The sequence below is a fragment of the Homo sapiens genome, chromosome 5, assembly GCF_000001405.40.
Source record: "Homo sapiens chromosome 5, GRCh38.p14 Primary Assembly".
NCBI classification, from domain to species: Eukaryota; Metazoa; Chordata; class Mammalia; order Primates; family Hominidae; genus Homo; species Homo sapiens.
This window is the reverse complement of record NC_000005.10, coordinates 145,873,235-145,893,904: the sequence shown is the minus strand read 5'-3', so window position 1 is coordinate 145,893,904 and position 20,670 is coordinate 145,873,235. Positions and strand designations below refer to the sequence as shown.

General features: G+C 40.1%; 1 protein-coding gene across 1 annotated transcript in view; it reads left to right on the top strand.

Moving 5' to 3' along the window:
* GRXCR2 (glutaredoxin and cysteine rich domain containing 2) overlaps nt 1-20,670 on the top strand; it is a 74,004-nt gene that overhangs the window by 37,769 nt on the left and 15,565 nt on the right. The window lies entirely within an intron of this gene.

Sequence of the window (20,670 nt, the reverse complement as noted above, 5' to 3'; positions counted from 1 at the left end):
CATTTGCTGAGGAGTGCTTTACTTCCAACTATGTGGTCAATTTTGGAATAGGTATGGTGTGGTGCTGAAAAGAATGCATGTTCTCTTGATTTGGGGTGGAGAGTTCTATAGATGTCTGTTAGGTCCGCTTGGTGCAGAGCTGAGTTCAATTCCTGGATATCCTTGTTAAATTTATGTCTTGTTGATCTGTCTAATGTTGACAGTGGGGTGTTAAAGTCTCCCATTATTATTGTGTGGGAGTCTAAGTCTCTTTGTAGGTCACTCAGGACTTGCTTTATGAATCTGGGTGCTCCTGTATTGGGTGCATATATATTTAGGATAGTTAGCTCTTCTTGTTGAATTGATCCATTCACCATTATATAATGGCCTTCTTTGTCTCTTTTGACCTTTGTTGGTTTAAAGTCTGTTTCATCAGAGACTAGGATTGCAACCCCTGCCTTTTTTTGTTTTCCATTTGCTTGGTAGTTCTTCCTCCATCCCTTTATTTTGAGCCTATGTGTGTCTCTGCACGTGAGATGGGTTTCCTGAATACAACACACTGATGGGTCTTGACTCTTTATCCGATTTGCCATTCTGTGTCTTTTAATTGGAGCATTTAGCCCATTTACATTTAAGATTAATATTGTTATGTGTGAATCTGATCCTGTCATTATGATGTTAGCTGGTTATTTTGCCTGTTAATTGATGCAGTTTCTTCCTAGCCTTGATGGTCTTTACAATTTGGCATGTTTTTGCAGTGGCTGGTACCGGTTGTTCCTTTCCATATTTAGTGCTTCCTTCAGGAGCTCTTGTAAGGCAGGCCTGGTGGTGACAAAATCTCTCAGCATTTGCTTGTCTGTAAAGTATTTTATTTCTCCTTCACTTATGAAGCTTAGTTTGGCTGGATATGAAATTGTGGGTTGAAAATTCTTTTCTTTAAGAATGTTGAATATTGGCCCCCACTCTCTTCTGGCTTGTAGAGTTTCTGCTGAGAGATCTACTGTTAGTCTGATGCGCTTCCCTTTGTGGGTAAGCCAACCTTTCTCTCTGGCTGCCCTTAACATTTTTTCCTTCATTTTAACTTCGGTGAATCTGACAATTATGTGTCTTGGAGTTGCTCTTCTCGAGGAGTATCTTTGTGGCATTCTTTGTACTTCCTGAATTTGAATGTTGGCCTGCCTTGCTAGATTGGGGAAGTTTTCCTGGATAATATCCTGCAGAGTGTTTTCCAACTTGGTTCCATTCTCCCCATCACTTTCAGGTACACCAGTCAGACGTAGATTTGGTCTTTTTACATAGTCCCATATTTCTTGGAGGCTTTGTTCATTTCTTTTTATTCTTTTTTCTCTAAACTTCTCTTCTCGCTTCATTTCATTCATTGTTCTTCCATCACTGATACCCTTTCTTCCAGTTAATTGAATTGGCTACTGAGACTTGTGCATTCGTCATGTAGTTCTCGTGCCATGGTTTTCAGCTCCATCAGGTCCTTTAAGGACTTCTCTGCATTGGTTATTCTAGTTAGCCATTCATCTAATTTTTTTTCAAGGTCTTTAACTTCTTTGCCATGGGTTCGAACTTCCTTCTTTAGCTCAGAGTAGTTTGATCATCTGAAGCCTTCTTCTCTCCACTGGTTAAAGTCATTCTCCATCTAGCTTTGTTCTGTTGCTGGTGAGGAGCTGCGTTCCTTTGGAGGAGGAGAGGCGCTCTGATTTTTAGAGTTTCCAGTTTTTCTGCTCTGTTTTTTCCCTATCTTTGTGGTTTTATCTACCTTTGGTCTTTGATGATGGTGACGTACAGATGGGGTTTTGGTGTGGATGTCCTTTCTGTTTGTTAGTTTTCCTTCTAACAGTCAGGACCCTCAGCTGCAGGTCTGTTGGAGTTTGCTGGAGGTCCACTCCAGACCCTGTTTGCCTGGGTATCAGCAGTGGAGGCTGCAGAACAGTGGATATTGGTGAACAGCAAATGTTGCTGCCTGATCGTTCCTCTGGAAGTTTTGTCTCAGAGGAGTACCCGGCCGTGTGAGGTGTCAATCTGCCCCTACTGGGGGATGTCTCCCAGTTAGGCTGCTCGGGGGTCAGGGACCAACTTGAGGAGGCAGTCTGTCCTTTTTCAGATATCCAGCTGCATGCTGGGAGAACCACCACTCTCTTCAAAGCTGTCAGACAGGGACATTTAATTCTGCAGAGGTGTCTACTGCCTTTTGTTTGGCTATGCCCTGCCCCCAGAGGTGGAGTCTACAGAGGCAGGCAGGCCTCCTTGAGCTGCAGTGGGCTCCACCGAGTTCGAGCTTCCTGGCCGCTTTGTTTACCTACTCAAACCTCAGCAATGGCGGGCGCCCCTCCCCCAGCCTCGCTGCTGCCTTGCAGTTTGATCTCAGACTGCTGTGCTAGCAGTGAGCAAGGCTCCGTGGGCGTAGGACCCTCCGAGCCAGGCACAGGATATAATCTCCTGGTGTGCCGTTTGCTAAGATTGTTGGAAAAGTACAGTATTAGGGTGGGAGTGACCCAATTTTCCAGGTGCTGTCTGTCACCCCTTTCTTTGACTAGGAAAGGGAATTCCCTGACTCCTTGCACTTCCTGGGTGAGGTGATGCCTCACCCTGCTTTGGCTCATGCTCGGTGTGCTGAACCCACTGTCCTGCACCCACTGTCTGACATTCCCCAGTGAGTTGAACCTGGTACCTCAGTTGGAAATGCAGAAATCACCCATCTTCTGCATCGCTCAAGCTGGGAGCTGTAGACTGGAGCTGTTCCTATTCGGCCATGTTGGCTCCTCCCCCTTAAGTCTTTTCATAGGTCTGGAAGTACTTGTTTTATGAATCTGGGTGCTCTAATGTTGGGTGTGTATATATTTATGGTAATTAAGTCTTCTTGTTGAATTGAACCCTTTGTCATTTACCCATTGTCCTGTTTTACTGTTGTTGGTTTAAAGTCTCTTTTATCTGATATAAGAATAGTGACTCCTGCTTTTTCTTGATTTCTATTTGTGTGGCAGATCTTTTCTCAGCCCTTTATTTTGAGCCTATGGGTGTCATTATGTGTGAGACAGGTCTTTTGAAGACAGCAGGTCAATGAGTCTTTTTTTTTTTTTAATTCAACTTGCCCTTCTGTGACTTTTAAACGGGGTGTTTAGACCATCTGCATTCAAAATTAATATTAACATGTGAAATTTTGAGCATATCATGAAGTTGTTAGTTGTCTGCTTTGTATTTCTATGGTGTTTTTGCTCTACAGGGTCTGCAGGCTATGTGTTTAGCTGTGTTTTTGTGGTAACAGGTATCATTCTTTTGCTTCCATGTTTAAAACTCCCTTAAAGGTCTCTTATAAGACTGGTCTAGTGGTAACAAATTCCCTCAGTGCTTGCTTGACTGGAAAATATTTTATTTCTCCTTCAGTTCTCTTGAATTATTTTTTCAAATATACTTTCCAGGTTGTTTGCTTTTTCTGCTTCTCTCTCAGGAATGCCAGTAATTTATAGATTTGGTGACTTCACATAATCCCATATTTCTCGAAGTCTTTGCTCATTTAAAAAAATTCCTGCCAGGTGCAGTGGCTCACACCTGTAATCTCAGCACTTTGGGAGGCTGAGGTGGGCAGATTACTTGAGGTCAGAAGTTCAAGACCAGCCTGGCCAACATGATGAAACTCCTTCTCTACTAAAAATACAAAAATTAGCTAGGCATGGTGGCACATGCCTGTAATCCCAGGTATTCAGGAGGTTGAGGGCAGGAGAAATGCTTGAACCTGGGAGGCAGAGGTTGTAGTGAGCCACAGTTATGTCACTGCACTCCAGCCTGGCAACAGAAGAAGATGCTGTCTTTTTAAAAAACAAACAAACAAAACAAAAACTTTTGTCTTTATTTTTGTCAGATTGGTTTAGTTCAAAAGTCTGGTCTTTAATCTCTGAAATTATTTCTTCTGCTTAGTCCAGTCTATTGACAAAGCTTTCAATTGTATTTTGAAACTCCTTACATGAGTATTTTAATTCCAGAAGCTCAGATTGCTTTCTTTTTAAGATGTTTATCTCTTCCTTCATTTTCTGGACTGCTTTGCTGTCTTTTTAAGATGTTTATCTCTTCCTTCATTTTCTGGACTGCTTTGGAAGTTTCTTTCTGTTGATTTTCAACCTTGTCTTGGATCTCAGTGAGCTTTCTTGCAATCCATGCTTTGAATTCTTTACCTGTCATTTCCGAGTTTCCATTTTGTGTAGGGACCATTGCTAGAAAGCTAATGCAATGCTTTGGTGGTATTGCCACATTCAGATTTTTCATGGTGGCAGAATTCTTGTGCCAGTTCCTTCTCATCTGGAGACACCGGTACTTCTAATTTTTGTATTTATTTTTCTATGGGTAGATTTTTTCCTCTTCTTTCTTTCCTTCAAAAAGTGAGTGATGTGGAGAGCAAAACATGCCCAGAAGTTCCCAAAAGCTTGGAGATGCAACAGCAGATGACAGCTGGGAGTTCTAAGACATATTTTTATTTTTATTTATGTACTGTATTTGCATAGGTTATTGGGGCACAGGTGGTATTTGGTTACATGAGTAAGTTCTTTAGTGGTGATTTGTGAGATTTTAGTGCACCCATCACCCAAGCAGTATACATTGTACCCTATTTGTAGTCTTTTATCCCTTGCCTCCCAACCCCAACACTTCCCCCCAAGTCCCCAGAGTCCATTGCATAATTCTTTCTTTCTTTCTTTCTTTCTTTCTTTCTTTCTTTCTTTCTTTCTTTCTTTCTTTCTTTCTTTCTTTCTTTTTTTGAGACAGAGTCTCGGTCTGTCACCCAGCTCAAGCTGGAGTGCAGTGGTGCGATCTCGGCTCACTGCAACCTCTGCCTCCAGCTTCCAGGTTCAGGCGATTCTCCTGCCTCAGGATTACAGGCGCCTGCCACCACGCCCGGCTAGTTTTTATATTTTTAGTAGAGACAGGGTTTCACCATGTTGGCTAGGCTGGTCTCAAACTCCTGGCCTCAAGTGACCTGCCCACCTCGGCCTCCCAAAGTGCTGGGATTACAGGCGTGAGCCACTGCACCCGGCCCATTGTGTCATTCTTATGCCTTTGTGCCAAGACCTATTTTTCAATAAAAGGAAAAATGAAGTTGTAAAGCTATACACACACAGAGTGTATAACTTCACTTATGTTTTTAAGAAAAACCCATTAAAATTATTTGTATCTTGCATACATATGTATATAAATGCATAAAATGTTGAGAAGGACATATTCTAGATTTATAGTAATAGTTATTTTTTAGGAAAAATGAAGACTTTTTTGTTCTTTACCTGCATCTCTAGTTTTTGAATTTATACAAAACACTGTATTCGTGTATTACTTTTATATTTTTATGTAGATTTTCTAAGCTGGTGTAAATTTTGAAAAAAATTAAGCATATGTGCCAAAACCTTGGCATCCTTGTTACATTCTCCTAGATCAAGTAACCTGCACAGGTTGTTAGCAGAGAGGTTTGAAATGGATCGGGGGTCTCTGACCAGTGGATTGTTCTTGCCCACTTGGCCCGATCCCTACTTCCCCAGACCCACATATTTTTCTACGCTCCACCGTGAGCACCTTGGGAGAAGGCTTACATTGTTTGGGTTGCTGCTGTAGCCCTGTCTTCCAGGACCCCATGCTTTAGACTTAGTAGATACAAAGTATGTATTTGTTTAATTGAAATAGCTCTTTCCTGTCCTCTGGAGCCACACAATCACATCCTTTCCTAGTGCATTCCGTGATGCAGCCTGAGTTCCCTCTCCTCCCTGCAGGTGGCAGAGTCTTCATCAGCTTTAACTAGCCATGCTTACTAGAGCAGTGGCTCTTAATCCATCAGACATAATGCATGCTTTCAGTAACACTTCCTAACCCTCTGCACTATTCTGGAATAAAATTAATAAATTAAACAATTACCTGCAAATATAACTTTAAAAAACCAATATAATGCCCTTGCTCTAATATAAAGAGAAATAAAAGGAAAGTAATTGATATAAAATACTACATATTTTAAAAACAAATGCTTGGATGTGATTTCCCTAGAAGTTATTGTAAAATAGGCACTCTGTGTATGTCTAGGATCCCTGTGATTGGGATGGCTACAAACGCTTTCTGAAACAGTTATGATATTTCAACCAGTGAAATACTTTTACAAAATGGTGGACAACTCTTGGTAGAACTGAACAAGACAAAGTACAAAATGTCTTTAATTTATGTGCATTTTCAGTTCCCCCAAATGTGCTGTATATCAAAGCTAAGCTCCCCACTCCCACTAATAAAATAAAATAAATAGAGAAACAGCTATGTTCTAGGCACAGATAATTATAAACAGGTGTTTCATCTTCTCAGAAGTCTGAGGTGAGGGACAATTTTTGTTGTGTAGGATTGCTCTTCATATTGGAGAATGTCTAACATCCCTAGCCTCTCACCCACGAAATGTCTGTGGTGTTCATTCATTTTGAGTACAGTACTAAAAAATAAATGTTTCCACAAAGTTCCATAATGTCCTCTAGGGAGCACTACTGGCCTCATCAAGAACCTTTGACTAGCTGTCTAATAGGGTAGCGACAAGTAATAAGCGACTACTGGCCTTGAAATGTAGCTAGTGGGACTAAATAACTAGAATTTTAATTTAAACCTGGACAACAGGGAGACACTATGTCTATAAAAAAATTTTAAAAATAGCCAGGTTTGGTGGCAAACACCTGTGGTCCCATCTCCTCAAGAGGCTGAAGCAGGAGGATTGCTTGAGCCTAGGAGTTCAGAGCTGCAAGTGAGCTACGATCGTGCTACTGCACTCCAGCCTGGACAACAGAGTGAGATCCTGTCTCAAAGAAAAAATTAAAATAAAATTTTGATTTGATTTACATATAAATTTTAAAATTGATGATCAGTTCAGTTATTGAAAAACTTTTAAATATGATTGGAACAACTTGGGTATGTGATTCTACTGTGTCAATATAAATTTTATGAAATCTGAATAGAGATCAAATACTTCTAACAGAAAGTCTAGTAAACGAACTGAGATGCTAAGTAAAATACACATAGGAATTAAAGGGTTTAGTAGGAAAAAAAGAACCTAAAATAGCTAATGAATATCTTATACTGGATTACATGTTGCATTGATAACATTTTGGATATAGTGGATTAAGTAAATATTAATAAAATTAATTTCATCTGTATATTTTTGCTTTCTCAATGTTACTACTGGAAAATCTAAAAATATGTATGTGGCTTACATTATAATATTATTGGAGAGTGCTGGAATAGAGAAAACTCAGGGCCATTTTTCAGCCTCTGAGATCTCTTTTTGCTTTTCTGTGTGATAGGAATGCATGGTAAGTTAGAAATGAAGGAGGAGTTAGAAAAATTTGTCCCTTGTTCTCTAGTGGGCAAACCAGGGGCCCCCAGGACAGGGTTTTTGAATAGTAGAATAATCTCAAGTGATGATTATTTTTTAATGAAGTCCCAGATTTTGGCCTGTGGTTTCTGGCAGGGTGGATGTTTTTCCACCACACTCCTCGTCTACTGGGTCCTCTGGTAACCTTCCCTTTACATTCTGACGTGGGGAGTTTGGCCTGTGATGCAAAGACCCCTGCCAGCTCTGCTCAGAGGCAGTGAGGAAAAGGCATTTCAAAGTACAAGGAAACTGGCCTATCTCTCCATTCTGGAGATTTACAGATATTCCAGGTGCTACCTTTCAAAGCAAACTATGGGATATCCCTTGAGGCAGAGCTTAGAGAACCAACACCATAGGTAGCTAAGTGACACCCAGCCACCAAGAGGCTGCACTGATCGTATATTCAGAAGCCTGTTATGGATTCTAGAATATGATGAGACTAGTTAAAATCATTTTCTGCCTCATTTTAAAAGAATTATCTTTTGTTTTCCAAGTGGTCAATTTCATGATGTGAGATAGAAGCATTAATGATGAGAAGCATGAACTTTGGGCTCAGATGACTGACATTTCATGACTGTGGGATGCCTGGCAGATAACTTAACCTCTCTGCACTTCGGTTTTCAGTTTTCCCGACTGTGAACTACCTTTTTCTTATGTAGAACATGCCCAGTAAGCAGTAGCTGTTTTTCATTATGAAGGGGTATGAATGGGAGGTGGAGGGAATTTTTAAAGAGGGAAGCCTTTCAGAACAGCATCTCCTAGACTATTTTCCTCGGAATACTGACCTCATGAAATCAAATTCCAAAAAGAAGAAAAGTTTTATGTGCACTGCATTTTGGAAATGGTGTATTCCTCAGTGGAGATTGACAAAGTATATTAGTATCTTAAACATTCTAAGAAGTCCTGCAGTAAAGAAACCAGTTTAATGTGGCTTAACTCAGCATTTTCCAAACTTATATTATTAGCATTTTCACCCCAAAATAACTACTAGCTCTGTAAGTTGTACTTTGAGAAAATATCTTACTTTCTAAGCAGAGCCCCTTGATCCTACACTTTAGATGGGCTGGACTCCTCATCAGAGGGAGAAACGTGGAACAAGCCAGCAGACTCTCTCCCATGACACCCAGGACCACAATGAAACGCCCACTCTGGAGGGAGCTTAGACAACCTTGGGAGAAAAAAAAAGTGGTGGTGAAATATAATAGTCTCTTGAAACGTTGCCCTAGAAATTTCTAAGTGGTGGTGGTGGAATAGAGGCAGACTATAAACTTAGATTTTGTTCTTCATATTTTAATAAAGTCCTATGAACTCTTACAGCTCTCTACAAATGATCAATAACTATAATAACCTTCTGCCGTAGCAGTATTTCAAAGAAAAATGCCATGCTGGAGTTTAAATACACACAGACAGACAGACAGACAGACACACACACACACACACACACACAGACACACACACATGCTGCATGATAATGTATGAGCAGATTAAAAAGATATGTTTAATTTATAAGCCCTACTCTGATTAGAAATGTTAGATGTGGAAAGATCGCTAAAGGATAATGTTCATACTCAATTTGCAATAATTGCACATTTCTTTCATCAAGACACATATCTAATATAATCTCCTAAATCCCAAAATACACATAAAAATAACGTCCAGTAAATGACATCAGACAGATAGGATATAAATTCTACTCCTAAAAAGATTCAGGATACACTAGGGTCTAAGTGAAAATGCAAAAAAGCAAACCTAGGTGTCTGTGAATATTTTTTTTCCCAACTCCCAAGTGCTTGGAATGTAAATTTTTTAAAAGAGCATAATTTCTCTTCAATTTTTATTATAAACATTTCAAACATACAAAAATTGGAGGAATAGTCAAATAAGCAGCCATCAAGCATTGTGAACATTTTTTTTTTCATTTTTACTTTGTGTACCATATATGCATACCTTATTATATAGGCATATATATTGAGGGGATAAACTTTTTAATAATAAATTACAGACATAGATATTTCACCTTAAATATTTCAGCATGTATGTCCTACAAAAGGACAGTCTCCCATATAATTACATAACATTATCTTGCCTAAGAAAACTAACAATAATTCTCTAGTTCCTTCTGATATTAATACCAACCCTAGAGTAAAATTTCCCCAGGAAGAAATCTAGGTTGATATACTGCACGTGGTTATGTTTCCTTATTCTCTTTAAATCTAGAATGCTTCTTCTATCTGCAACATTTTTTCGTTGATATATTGACTTTTTGATGAGACCTGTGTCTTGTAGGATGTCCCACAGAGCGGTTTTGTGTGGTTGCTTCCTTCTGGGCCACTTAACCATTCCTCTATTCTCTGTACTTCTTGTAAACCAAAACCTAAGCTTGCTTAAATATTGAAGATTTTTGTCCAGAATACTTCATAGGTGGGGTTTATTCCACTTTGCTTCCTGTCCTGCTGTAATTGTAAATAGCACCCCTCTCACCATCAAGATTTTTATGTGTTTGTAAATGAAGCATCACATCAGGAGACATAATACGTTTGTCCCACCATTAGTGATGTCAAGTTTAATCACTTGCTTAAATGTCCATCAGAGTTTTACAAAAGTATTGTGCTCCATACTGAGATTTTGTGATGAGGGATTTTACTACTACATAAGCCAACTTTGGGTCTCACTCTGTCGCCCAGGCTGGAGTGCAGTGGTGCGATCTCGGCTGACTACAGCTGTGACCTCCTGGGCTCAGGTGATCCTTTCACTCCACCTCAGCCCCCTGAATAGCTGGGACTACAGGCATGATAGGCTAATTTTTATATTTTGCATAGAGATGGGGTTTTACCAACTTGCCCAGGCTGGTCTTGAACTCCTGGGCTCAAGCGAGCCACCTGCCTCGGCCTCCCAAAGTGCTAGGATTACAGGCATGAGCCACTGTGCCTGGCTGTCACCTCTACTTTCAATAACCCATTGAATTTTTTTGCAGCTGGGTACAATCCTGAGTAATCAGTTCCTCTATGAGTTTGGCTTAAGTTAAAGTCATTTCTTTTCGCATTAAAATGGCACCCAAAATATATCTTTTACAATAAAATTACATGATTTCCTATTATTGAATTTAGCCAAAGTAAAAATGCAAAATGTTGAGGATTTAAGTATTTCCCACCAATTGCATAAGTTTTAGGTACAGTTTACTTAACAAAAACCATTATTTTAATATTAAAATTAGTACTTGCTCATTATGGAAAATTTAGAAAAATACAGAAAAATGTGAGAAAGCATAAAAATCACCCTTAATCTCCCTTTTAAATAGAACCACTGTTAGCACTTCAGTATATTTACTTTTAGTCTCTTTTCTATACAGGTTTTTTTCTTTTTCTTTTTTTTAATTATACTTTAAGTTCTAGGGGACAAGTGCACAACATGCAGGTTTGATACATATGTATACATGTGCCATGTTGGTTTGCTGCACCCATTAACTCGTCATTTACACTAGGTATCTCTCCTAATGCTATCCCTCCCCCCTCCCCCCACCCCACAACAGGCCCTGGTGTGTGATGTTCCCCGCCCTGTGTCCAAATGTTCTCATTGTTCAATTCCCAACTATGAGTGAGAACATATGGTGTTTGGTTTTCTGTCTTTGTGATAGTTTGCTGAGAATGATGGTTTCCAGCTTCATCCATGTCCCTGCAAAGGACATGGACTCATCCCTTTTTATGGCTGCATAGTATTACATGGTGTATATGTGCCACATTTTCTTAATCCAGTCTATCACTGATGGACATTTGGGTTGGTTCCAAGTCTTAGCTATTGTGAATAGTGCCACAATAAACATACGTGTGCATGTGTCTTTACAGCAGCATGATTTATAATCCTTTGGGTATATACCCAGTAATGGGATGGCTGGGTCAAATGGTAATTCTAGTTCTAGATCCTTGAGGAATCGCCACACTGTCTTCCACAATGGTTGAACTAGTTTACAGTCCCACCAACAGTGTAAAAAGTGTTCCTATTTCTCCACATCCTCTCCAGCATCTGTTGTTTCCTGACTTTTTAGTTATCGCCATTCTAATTGGTGTGAGATGGTATCTCATTGTGGTTTTGATTTGCATTTCTCCGATGACCAGTGATGATGAGCATTCTTTCATGTGTCTGTTGGCTGCATAAATGTCTTCTTTTGAGAAGTGTCTGTTCATATCCTTAGCCCACTTTTTGATGGGGTTGTTTGTTTTTTTCTTGTACATTTGTTTGAGTTCATTGTAGATTCTGGATATTAGCCCTTTGTCAGATGCGTAGATTGCAAAAATTTTCTCCCATTCTGTAGGTTGCCTGTTCACTCTGACGGTAGTTTCTTTTGCCGTGCAGGAGCTCTTTAGTTTAAATAGATCCCGTTTGTCTATTTTGGCTTTCGTTGTCATTGCTTTTGGTGTTTTAGTCATGAAGTCCTTGCCCATGCCTATGTCCTGAATGGTATTGCCTGGGTTTTCTTCTAGGGGTTTTATGGTTTTAAGTCTAACATTTAAGTCTTTAATCCAACTTGAATTAATTTTTGTATAAAGTGTAAGGAAGGGATCCAGTTTCAGTTTTCTACATATGGCTAGCCAGTTTCCTCAGCACCATTTATGAAATAGGGAATCCTTTCCCCACTTCTTGTTTTTGTCAAGTTTGTCAAAGATCAGATGGTTGTAGATGTGTGGTGTTATTTCTGAGGCCTCTGTTCTGTTCCATTGGTCTATATATCTGTTTAGGTACCAGTACCATGCTGTTTTGGTTACTGCAGCCTTGTAGTATAGTTTGAAGTCAGGTAGCATGATGCCTCCAGTTTTGTTCTTTTTGCTTACGATTGTCTTGACAATGTGGGGTCTTTTTTGGTTCCATATGAACTTTAAAGTAGTTTTTTCCAATTCTGTGAAGAAGGTCATTGGTAGCGGATGGCATTGAATCTATAAATTACCTTGGACAGCATGGCCATTTTCACAATATTGATTCTTCCTATCCATGAGCATGGGATGTTCTTCCATTTGTTTGTATCCTCTTTTATTTCGTTGAGCAGTGGTTTGTAGTTCTCCTTGAAGAGGTCCTTCACATCCCTTGTAAGTTGGATTCCTAGGTATTTTATTCTCTTTGTAGGAATTGTGAATGGGAGTTCACTCATGATTTGGCTCTCTGTCTGTTATTGGTGTATAAGAATGCTTGTGATTTTTGCATATTGATTTTGTATCCTGAGACTTTGCTGAAGTTGCTTATCAGCTTAAGGAGATTTTGGGCTGAGACAATAGGGTTTTCTAAATATACAATCACATCATCTGCAAACAGGGACAATTTGACCTCCTCTTTTCCTAATTGAATACCCTTTATTTCTTTCTCTTGTCTGATTGCCCTGGCCAGAACTTCCAACACTATGTTAAATAGGAGTGGTGAGAGAGGGCATTCTTGGCTTGTGCCAGTATTCAAAGGGAATGCTTCCAGCTTTTGCCCATTCAGTATGATATTGGCTGTGGGTTTGTCATAAATAGCTCTTATTATTTTGAGATACATTCAATCCATACCTAGTTTATTGAGAGTTTTTAGCATGAAGTGCTGTTGAATTTTGTCAAAGGCCTTTTCTGCATCTATTGAGATAATCATGTATCTTTTGTCATTGGTTCTGTTTATGTGATGGATTACATTTATTGATTTGCATATGTTCAACCAGTCTTGTATCCCAGGGATGAAGCCGACTTGATCATGGTGGATAAGATTTTTGAGGTGCTACTGGATTTGGTTTGCCAGTATGTTATTGAGAATTTTCGCACTCATGTTCATCAGGGATATTCGTCTAAAATTCTCTTTTCTTGTTGTGTCTCTGCCAGCCTTTGGTATCAGGATGATGCTGGCCTAATAAAGTTAGGGAGGATTCCCTCTTTTTCTATTCATTGGAATAGTTTCAGAAGGAATGGTACCAGCTCCTGCTTGTACCTCTGGTAGAATTCGGCTGTGAATCCTTCAGGTCCTGGACTTTTTTTGGTTGGTAGGCTATTAATTATTGCCTCAATTTCAGAGTCTGTTATTGGTCTATTCAGAGATTCTTCTGTCTTGGGAGGGTGAATGTGTCCAGGAATTTATCCATTTCTTCTAGATTTTCTAGTTTATTTGCATAGACGTGTTTATGGTATTTTCTGATGATAGCTTGTATTTCTGTGGGATTGGTGGTGACATCCCTTTTATCATTTTTTATTGCATCTATTTGATTCTTCTCTCTTTTCTTCTTTATTAGTCTTGCTAGCGGTCTATCAATTTTGTTGATCTTTTCGAAAAAACAGCTCCTGGATTCATTGATTTTTTGAAGGGTTTTTTTTGTGTCTCTATCTCTCTCAGTTCTGCTCTGATCTTAGTTATTTCTTGCCTTCTGGTAGCTTTTGAATTTGTTTGCTCTTTCTTCTCTAGTTCTTTCAATTGTGATGTTAGGGTGTTGATTTTAGATCTTTCCTGCTTTCTCTTGTGGGCATTTAGTGCTATAAATTTCCCTCTACACACTGCTTTAAATGTGTCCCAGAGATTCTGGTACGTTGTGTCTTTGCTCTCATTGATTTCAAAGAACATCTTTATTTCTGCCTTCATTTCGTTATTTACCCAGTAGTTGTTCAGGAGCAGGTTGTTCAGTTTCCATGTAGTTGTGCGGTTTTGAGTGAGTTTCTTAATCCTGAGTTCAAATTTGATTGCACTGTGATCTGAGAGACAGTTTGTGATTTCTGTTCTTTTATGTTTGCTGAGGAGTGCTTTAGTTATGTGGTCAATTTTAGAATAAGTGCAATGTGGTGCTGAGAAGAATGTATATTCTGTTGATTTGGGGTAGAGAGTTCTGTAGATGTCTATTAGGCCCGCTTGGTGCAGAGCTGAGTTCAAGTCCTGGATATCCTTGTTAACCTTCTGTCTCATTAATCTGTCTAATATTGACAGTGGGGTGTTAAAATCTCCCATTATTATTGTGTGGGAATCTAAGTCTCTTTGTCCGTCTCTAAGGACTTGCTTTATCAATCTGGTTGTTCCTGTATTGGGTGCATATATATTTAGGATAGTTAGCTCTTCTTGTTGAATTGATCCCTTTACCATTATGTAATGGCCTTCTTTGTCTCTTTTGATCTTTGTAGGTTTAAAGTCTATTTTATCAGAGACTAGGATTACAACCCCTGCTTTTTTTTTTTTTTTTGCTGTGCATTTGCTTGGTAGATCTTCCTCCATCCCTTTATTTTGAGCCTATGTGTGTCTCTGCACGTGAGATGGGTCTCCTGAATACAGCACACTGATGGGTCTTGACTCTTTATCCAATTTGCCAGTCTGTGTCTTTTAATTTGAGCATTTAGCCTATTTACATTTAAGGTTGATATTGTTTTGTGTGAATTTGATCCTGTCATTATGATGTTAGCTGGCTATTTTGCCTGTTAATTGATGCAGTTTCTTCATAGCATTGATGGTCTTTACAATTTGGCATGTTTTTGCAGGGGCTGGTACTGGTTATTTCTTTCCATGTTTAGTGCTTCCTTCTGGAGTTCTTGTAAGGCAGGCTTGGTAGTGACAAAATCTCTCAGCATTTGCTTGTCTGTAAAGATTTTATTTCTCCTTCACTTTTGAAGCTTAGTTTGGCTGGATATGAAATTCTGGGTTGAAAATTTTCTTTAAGAATGTTGAATATTGGCCCCCACTCTCTTCTGGCTTGTAGGGTTTCTGCCAAGAGATCCACTGTTTGTCTGATGGGCTTCCCTTTATGGGTAACCTGACCTTTCTGTCTGGCTGCCCTTACCATTCTTTCCTTCATTTCTGCCTTGGTGTATCTGACAATTATGTGTTTTGAGGTTGCTCTTCTCGAGGAGTATCTTTGTGTTATTCTCTGTATTTCCTGAATTTGAATGTTGGCCTGCCTTGCTAGGTTGGGGAAGTTCTCCTGGATGATATCCTGCAGAGTGTTTTCCAACTTGGTTCTATTCTCCCCATCAATTTCAGGTACACCTATCAAATGTCGATTTGGTCTTTTCACATAGTCCCATATTTCTCGGAGGCTTTGTTCATTTCTTTCTACTCTTTTTTCTCTAACCTTGTCTTGTCACTTCATTTCATTAATTTGATCTTCAATCACTGATACCCTTTCCTCCACTTGATTGAATCAAGTATTGAAGCTTGTGCATGTGTCATGAAGTTCTCATGCCATGGTTTTCAGCTCCATCAGGTCATTTAAGGTCTTCTCTACACTGTTTATTCTAGTTAACCATTCGTCTAACCTTTTTTCAAGGTTTTTATCTTCCTTGCAATGGGTTTGAGCATGTTCCTTTAGCTCGGAGAAGTTTGTTATTACCAGCCTTCTGAAGCCTACTTCTGTCAACTCATCAAAGTCATTCTCCATCCAGCTTTGATCCGTTGCTGGTGAGAAGGTGTGATCCTTTGGAGGAGAAGAGCACTGTGGTTTTTAGAATTTTCAGCTTTTCTGCTCTGGTTTCTCCCCATCTTTGTGGTTTTATCTACCTTTGGTCTTTGATGTTCGTGACCTACAGATGGGGTTTTGGTGTAGATGTCCTTTTTGTTGATGTTGGTGCTATTTCTTTCTGTTTGTTAGTTTTCCTTCTAACAGTCAGGTCTCTCAGCTGCAGGTCTGTTGGAGTTTGCTGGAGGTCCACTCCAGACCCTGTTTGCCTGGGTATCACCAGCAGATGCTGCAGAACAGCAAAGATTGCAGAACAGCAAATATTGCTGCCTCATCCTTCCTCTGGAAGCTTCATCCCAGAGGGGCACCCACCTATATGAGGTGTCTGTCGGCCCCTACTGGGAATGCCCCGCCCTGCTTTGGCTCACCCTCCATGGGCTGCACCCACTGTCCAACCAGTCTCAATGAGATGAACCAGGTACCTCAGTTTGAAATGCAGAAATCACATGTCTTCTGCGTTGATCACTTTGGGAGCTGCAGACTGGAGCTGTTCCTATTCGGCCATCTTGGAACAGATCTCTTCTATACAGTTTTATAATATAAATTCTATGTCACAGAACATAAAATCTGTTATATCTTTTCCTACTTAATTTGTATCATAAATCTGTTTCCATATTATTTTCTTATTATTTCCATATGAGGCAGGAGAATCACTTTAACCTGGGAGGCAGAGGTTGCAGTGAGCCAAGATTGCACCACTGCATTCCAGCCTGGCAACAGGGTGAGACTCTGTCTGAAAAAAAAAAAAAAGAATAGTGAAGAGGTAGTATCAGAAGATTTTTTTTTTAATCGACCTTTCTACTAAGGACAAGTGTCTCCTCTCCTTTTTTTTGTTAACCTTTTAAAAATGTCTACATAATTTTTCATATTGTGTCATTGCTATTGTTGAACATTTAAGTTGTTTTCAATTTTTTTCCCAGTATGAATAATATTTAGGGGAGTATCTTTAAATAAATATCTTTCTTTCTTTAAAATGATTTTCTGAAGAGAAATAATTGGGTAGAAAGCAATGGATTTTTTTCATTTATTTTATTCTTGCTTATCAAAGTAAGACAAACTTATCACAGACAAGTAAAATATGATTAAACTGGGAAAGAAAAAAAAACACTCAAAATCCTCCACCCAGTTGCCAGAGTCAACTGATACTAGCATTTTGCCATGATTTCTTTGGATATATGGAGCTACAGTATTTTCTTTCTTAGGAGGTTTCAAGGATATAAATATTTTTAAGGCTTTTGATAATACTGCCAAAACTGCTTTCGATTTATCAATTTGTTCTTCTTCTTGAAGTGTATTTGTGACTATTCTGGAAACACCAACGTCTGAAAATTTTCAGATGAACATGGTTGTTTCAAAACTTCCCATGATTTTAGGTTGGCTCACTGAAAATCTGTCTGTGAACATGGGAAATGGCATAAAAAAGTGTTGAAGAAATGTTACTTGGAAAACTCACCTCCAGCTTTGTTTTTGTTGTTGTTACTGACATTCATTTTGGGGCAATTGAAAATGTTTACTTGACAAGTAGTTGTGGAAGTCAGCTCACTGGTTTTTCTAGATGAAGATAGGCTATTGGTTATTTATTAATATTTGTTTCCTGGGAGAGATAGAAGAAAATATTCTTCTAGTTAGGAGTTCCCAATCTTTTTCATGGCATGGCACACATAGAAAATAATAATTGTTGCATGCCTTGGTCTCAGCTACTCAGGAGGCTGAGGAGGGAGGATTGCTTGAGCCCAGGAGGCAGAGGTTGCAGTGAGCTAAGGTTGCACCCCTGCACTCCAACCTGGGCGACAGAGCAAGACCCTGTCTCAAAAAAAAAAAAAGGAAAATAATAATTGTTACATTTATATGTGTGTGTTTGTGTGTGTGGGTATGTGTGTGTGTGTGTATATATATATATATATATATATATACACACACACACATACAATTTTTTAAGAGATAGGGTCTCACTTTGTCAACCAGGCTGGAGTGCAGTGGCATAATTGTAGCTGGCTTTAGCCTCAAACTCCTGGGCTCAAGCAATCCTCTTGCCTCAGCCTCCTGAGTAGCTGGGACTACAGACAAGCACCACCATGCCCAGATAATTTTTAAAAAACTTTTTGTAGAGACAAAGTCTCATTTTGTTGCCCAGGCTGGTCTCAAACTCTTTGGCTCAAGCAACCCTCCTGCCTCAGCCTCCTGAGTAGCTGGGATTACAGATGTGGGCCACCATGCCCAGCTTGATATTGTTCTATACAGTGAAGTAAATGAATAAGGCTAATGTAGTCCTGGGGGACACCTGGCTGCCATGAGGGCTGAGAGTTCAAGGTCTCAGTCTCCTGTGATTCATTGATGGTGTGTCCCAGACAACTCTGCATCCTGGGGGAGTTACAATGTTATGAAAAGTGTATCTTTCTTTTTCTTTAAACATTGTTTCCCTAGTTCTTCTCTCCCACCTATTTCTGTACCAGTTACACAGGGAATTTACAACTGTGACACCTCTCCTTAGTAGAAAGGTAGATTAAAAAAAAAATCTTCTGATCCTACCTCTTCACTATTCTTTATTTATTTTTTTTTGATGGAGTCTCGCTCTGTCACCAGGCTGGAGTGCAGTGGTGCAATCCTGGCTCACTGCAACCTCTGCCTCCTGGCTTCAAGTGATTCTCCTGCTCTAGCCTCCCGAGTAGCTGGGACTATAAGTGCCTGCCACCACACCCTGCTAATTTTTGTATTTTTGGTAGAGATGAGGTTTCACTATGTTGGCCAGGATGGTCTTAATCTCTTGACCTCGTGATCCACCTGCCTCGGCCCTTCCAAAGTGCTGGGATTACAGGCGTGAGCCACCGCGCCCAGCCACCTCTTCACTATTCTATACAAAATATGCTCAATTCCTTTTTGAAAAGCTTTGTGTATTTGGTTTCTCTCACTTGAAGTCATTCATTTAACAATTACTGAGTTCTATTATGTACTGGGCACTTTGATAAACACTGGGAATAGACAGATAGTAAGGACAACTTCTGACTGCAAGATGTTCACAGTTGAATGGAGGGAAAAATAGGAAGGGCAAGGGAAAGTGAGAAGCATCTGAATGGCGGTAGGTCCGAAAGTCCCATGGCACTCTCCCTGGGGAAGGTGGGAAGGCTGCCCAGAAGCAGTGACATTTGAGGTGTGACTTGAAGGAGGAATGGAAATTTGACACTCTAAATCAGGAGACAGAGTACTGGATAAGAGACAGAAACTTGTGGGTTTGAGAAATGGGTAAGCTTGTTGGTGTAACTGGAACACCAATCCCAGGCAGCCCCTGGAAGAGTGACAGAGGGCAAGGCTGGAAAGGAAGGAAGGTGAGGCTGGTTTTTGAGGGGCTTTGCTTGTCACATGGAACAGTTAAGACTTAAGCCCTGATGCACTAGAAAAGATTTTTCAGCAAGAGACTGACACCTGTGGATTTGTTGTTTTGGACTATTGCTCTCACATCAATATGGAGAATGGAATTGGGGGTGAGTAGGGAAGTCCTTGGGAGACAGCTGCAACTTTAAAAATCAAAGTGATGAGGGTTTGCCCTAGGGCCAGGGTGATAGGGGTAGATGAAAGAAGGCAGTGGTGAAAGAATCCATGTGAATGGGCTGGGTGCGGTGGCTCATGCCTGTAGTCCCAGCACTTTGGGAGGTCAAGGCAGGCGGATCACGAGGTCAAGAGATTGAGACCATCCTGGCCAACATGGTGAAACTCCATCTCTACTAAAAATACAAAAATTAGCTGGGCATGGTGGCGTGTGCCTGTAGTCCCAGCTACTCGGGAGGCTGAGGCATGAGAATTGCTCGAACTCAGGAGGTGGAGGTTGCAGTGAGCCGAGATCGTACCACTGCACTCCAGCCTGGCAACAGAGTGAGACTCCGTCTCAAAAAAAAAAAAATAAAATAAAATAATAAAAAAAAAGAATCCAAGCGAATGGCTGTAGGGGAATAGGAGGGGTCAATTTGGGTAACTCAGTAAATGGTGATGCTGGTAGCAAAGACAGGGAGAAAGGCTTTACTCCACTTTCAGCTCCTCACATCCAACCTACCATTTTCTACCCAGCCCAAGGGCCCTTTTCTTTACAAACCTTCTTCCATCCTTGTCTCCTTAGAGACCACTTCCTTCCCAGAGTGGCTATTCTGGGATTCAGCTGTGGGCAGTTTGCTCTCTAAGCATGAGGTTATTATTTCACCTGTGTGAGGTCTGTATGGGATTGTAGGACTGTTCTCAGGCCCAGGTCACATGCTTCTGTGCTATTCACTCCAGCCACTAGTTCAGTGTCAGGCATTTACGAAGTCCAACAGGCAATGGGGACTTGTGCTGTGATTGCAAATGAAATCTTAAATGTAAAATACATACCAAGTGGAGGTGCTCTGGTTAGCGTAGGGGGAGAAGGCCCAGAATCCAGGACCCTCGGCCTTCTCCTGTTCTTAGCAGCAGCCTCCAAGAACCTCCACTGTATCTAGGACGTCATTCCCTCTTCTAGAACCAGAACTGGAAAACTTCTGGTTGTGTGGGCTGATCTTGGGTTTTGGAGTCAGATAGATCTGGGTTCAAATCCCTGCTCTGTCACTTACTTAGGTGTAATAGAGCAGACAAATGATGAAGATAAATGACAAGTGGCTCTAAGCCTCACTTTCCCCTGTGTAAAACAAAGGTAAGATTTTCTTTGTAGGGTTATCGTGAGGATGAAATAAAATAATGCATGTAACAATCTCTGGTACTTATGAAATGCTCACTAGATTTTAATTGTCATTGCTAACAATAAGAAGACACTTGTTAACTAATTGAGTGTCTGATCCTTATTGAATTGGCACATGTTCAGTCTAAATAAACTTCTTCATCCTCAGGTTAAGAAAGGTTAGGGTTGGGG